Source organism: Homo sapiens, chromosome 5 (genome assembly GCF_000001405.40).
Source record: "Homo sapiens chromosome 5, GRCh38.p14 Primary Assembly".
Taxonomy (NCBI): Eukaryota; Metazoa; Chordata; class Mammalia; order Primates; family Hominidae; genus Homo; species Homo sapiens.
In genome coordinates this window covers 103,572,780-103,576,209 of record NC_000005.10, presented here as the reverse complement: position 1 = coordinate 103,576,209, position 3,430 = coordinate 103,572,780, and the positions used below count along the sequence as shown (strand labels likewise).

Here is a 3,430-nt window from a genome sequence, read left to right as displayed (position 1 = left end):
TAAAATATTATGAAAAACGTTAATTTATAATGCTTTGGAAGCAGACAAGGGGATATAATTTTTTTCCCTGAGATGGTGGCACATGAACTTAGTCTGGAAAATTATGTAAAAATTACTCAACAAGAGGGTCTATGGGTGAGTGGGTGGAGTGAGGTAGGTATTTCTAACAGAAAAAATAGGAGGAGTGAACATGCCACAGCCTTGGTAATTATGTAGTTGTGGCTTTAGGGCAGGAAGCAAACAGGGGAGTGACGGAGCTCTCCAAAGTTGGGTGCACACACCAAAAGGTACACAAGGCAAATACATGAGAAGAAAAGATTGCAGCTTATTTTTATAATTATTCTTACCACATCCTTTTTAAAATTCTGCTCCTGTGCATAGTATATAATGTATCTAATATTTTATATATGTACATCTACAAGACTTTATACATACACACACACACATATATAGTATATGTCCTCAAAAAATTTTAATTCATAGTATTGCAATTAAAGAAAAAGAAAGGACCTCATATTCTATATTCTCCTGAAGGTGATGTATAGTAATAAAGAATTTTTAAAAATGAAGAACAATTAGCTTTTAAAAGATCCACTCTGGTTATATTCTGGGAGGTAAATTTAAAGATGAGATCCAAGACAAATAAAGCAGCTATGAAGCCACTTCAGTAATCCTGGTAAGAACTTAAATGATGCTGGTGGCACAGTGGAAATACCAAGCAGGTGGCAGAAGCTGCCTATAAGGGAAAAATATTTTAAACTATAAATCATGTTGATTTACATCATTCATTACATTCTGGGCCTATACAATTCCACAAAGATAATTTATATATCCTTCCAAAAGTAGGACTACAAATCAAGTTATAATATACCATTATCCTATTTGAGGTCATTAAAACTCAATGATTTAATTATATTCTGATTTCATGACTAGGACCAATTTTTTAAAAGAAATGTAATCACTATCCTGGCTACATCACTCTAGTTGTTCTCATGTAAGCGAAATTAAAATCTTGATCATAGAAAACGGGATGGGAGACTGGGAGGGAGAGAGAGGAAGGCAAAGGTGAAGGTGAAGGGTACCAGCTAGCACAATGCTACGGCCAGTATCCAATTGTCCCATGCCATCATATTGGTGATAGAACAAAGGTAGTATGTCTCTGCTTTCTATCTCTGTTTTACCAGATTCAATGGGCCAGGGCCTTTTAAATAAATCTGCATCCAAATATATCACAGATTTCCTTTGCTAAAAAACAAAACAAAACAAAAAACAAAGAAGCCAAGCGAAAGAGAATAGTGAGACATAACATAGGTAGATTATGCTTTATCTACTGGATCTTAAACAGTTGAATTTAGGACAATTAGTTATATTTTGAGAAACTTTCTCCATTTTGTTTCAACTCTGCAAAACAGAAATATTTAACAATAGAATTTGACTAAGTTGTACCTTCCAGTATTATTTACCAACACTTTAAGAAGCCCTTATCCATTTTTGAAAGAATAGATGAATGAATGAATCACTGTTGAAATTTTATTCTAGACCAAAGGGCCTAGTCCTACACAAGAAGTACCACATTGATGGTCCTATTACCAGAAAAATTGTGTGTGATTTAAATTGGAAATGTTTTCACCCATTGCAGATAACTTTTTAAGTAGAACAAAATGGAATATTTTATAAGATATCTGTAGTGACATTTTGTGTCTGGTAATAGTTCCTTATCCTGGCTTTCCAAGTATTTCACATGGCCTTCAGTGACACAGCTACTCTCTTATATTACTCTGCCTTTCCCACAATTCTGTCAGTTAGATTTATATTAGAATTTGCTAAACAGGATAGTGGCAATAAGTGGATTCTCAAGGATTTTTCAGAAGGACTTAAAATATATAAATCATTTTTAACATCAGTGTTAAAAATCATCACATAATGTTTAAAATCAGTTTTTGTCTTAAAAATATACACATGCCTTTTGAAATGACTATGTTCCTCAAAAAAAATAGATGAATATTCTTATTTTTCAAAACTCTAGAAATTTACTGCATTCAGACTGACAGTTCTATTCAGAGAATAAAAACAAAATGCCATCCCACAAATTCTAAAAGTGTTTATTAATCATTCTAAATTTCATTCCTCCTTTTAATGTATTCTGAAAATATCGTAGCAATCAGCATTATATTATTGCTGTAATGATAGCTTAGGAAGCAACAGAAATCCTCTCTGGGATACTGAAATCAGACAAGTTGGGAACAGCTGAGAGAGCACTGTCAGGGCACTTTGTTTAGAAATAACAGGTAAGGTGTCCTTTAATCACAGTAAAGTCATCCTTGCTTTTTAGTCCAAATTTCCAGATTTCCTTCTGAACCAATCCTTTATGGAACTCAAAATCAGAATATATTCACCTCCAACAGTAAATTAACCAACATGTGAGCACATAACATGTGGCTTTAAATATACTGCTAAATTACATGTCCTCCATAGAGAAGGAAAACTCTGATTCATAGAGCAGGTAGCAAACCTAAGGCTCTCAATCCTGGCTGAAGGAATTTACCTGCATTGCAGACTTTCACTCTCCATAGAAGGTCATCACTTCACAGCCTAGGAAATAATCCCTGCCAGCCGACTTGCAAAGTGCCTGAGGCATCGCTCCTGAGAGGTATAACTCCTCTTCTTTCAAGGCTAGAGGTCAGAGTCATGATCACAGCTCAGTCAAATTTAAAGGAAAAAGTATCTGGGGTCAAAAATACCCTAAGGAAAAAATTGAAGACTAAAACTCAAAAAATACACTGCGTTCCTCTGGGCTTCAGCATAGTGATGGAAAAACCTGTTGCAGAATATTAAATTTAGGTGTTTTTTTCATCTGAAAGCTTCAAAGTAACTAAACTAAAACTGAATACAAAATCTGAGGGATGTCATGCTGCAATCAGTTTTGAGGACATTTTTAAATGCTACAAATTTATTTAAATGCTCATCAACCTAGACATTCTAAAAAAGCAAAAAAAAAAAAGTTTAAGTGACTTACACATGAAATGTGAACAGAGGCTCAATGATTAAATTACTGCACCAATTAACTTGAGTACACAGAAAGAATGCTGCTCTTTCAAGCAATGTTAATTCTCCCTCTGATCAGACAGACTCCTCCTCACATCATGGTTGCTGCTTCATAAAACACAACTCATACAGCAAAGGGGGAGAAATGATTGTAAATAAGAATAAACCACTGTTTGGGAATTCTTTCTAAAATGCATAAACTAAATTGATGTTTGCATGGAAAATACAGTCATTTCTGTATGCTTCCAAGAGTAAAAATACTCTAAAAGTTGTTTTTGAAAATCATAAGACAGATGAAATGACCATTAAACTCAGCAAAAGTGGCTTGTTACCCACAAAAATCATAAATGAGTGCATTTAAAGATTAAAGGCATTTCGGGATGTA

At 34.1% G+C, this 3,430-nt stretch overlaps 1 annotated feature.

The window, feature by feature from the left end:
* Positions 2,352–3,288: an enhancer, noted in NCBI's record as "NANOG hESC enhancer chr5:102908623-102909559 (GRCh37/hg19 assembly coordinates)". NCBI's record gives its function as "activates a minimal SCP1, AML or CMV promoter by ChIP-STARR-seq in primed H9 embryonic stem cells {active_cell/tissue: H9 hESC(primed)}" and the evidence as "EXISTENCE:reporter gene assay evidence [ECO:0000049][PMID:30033119]".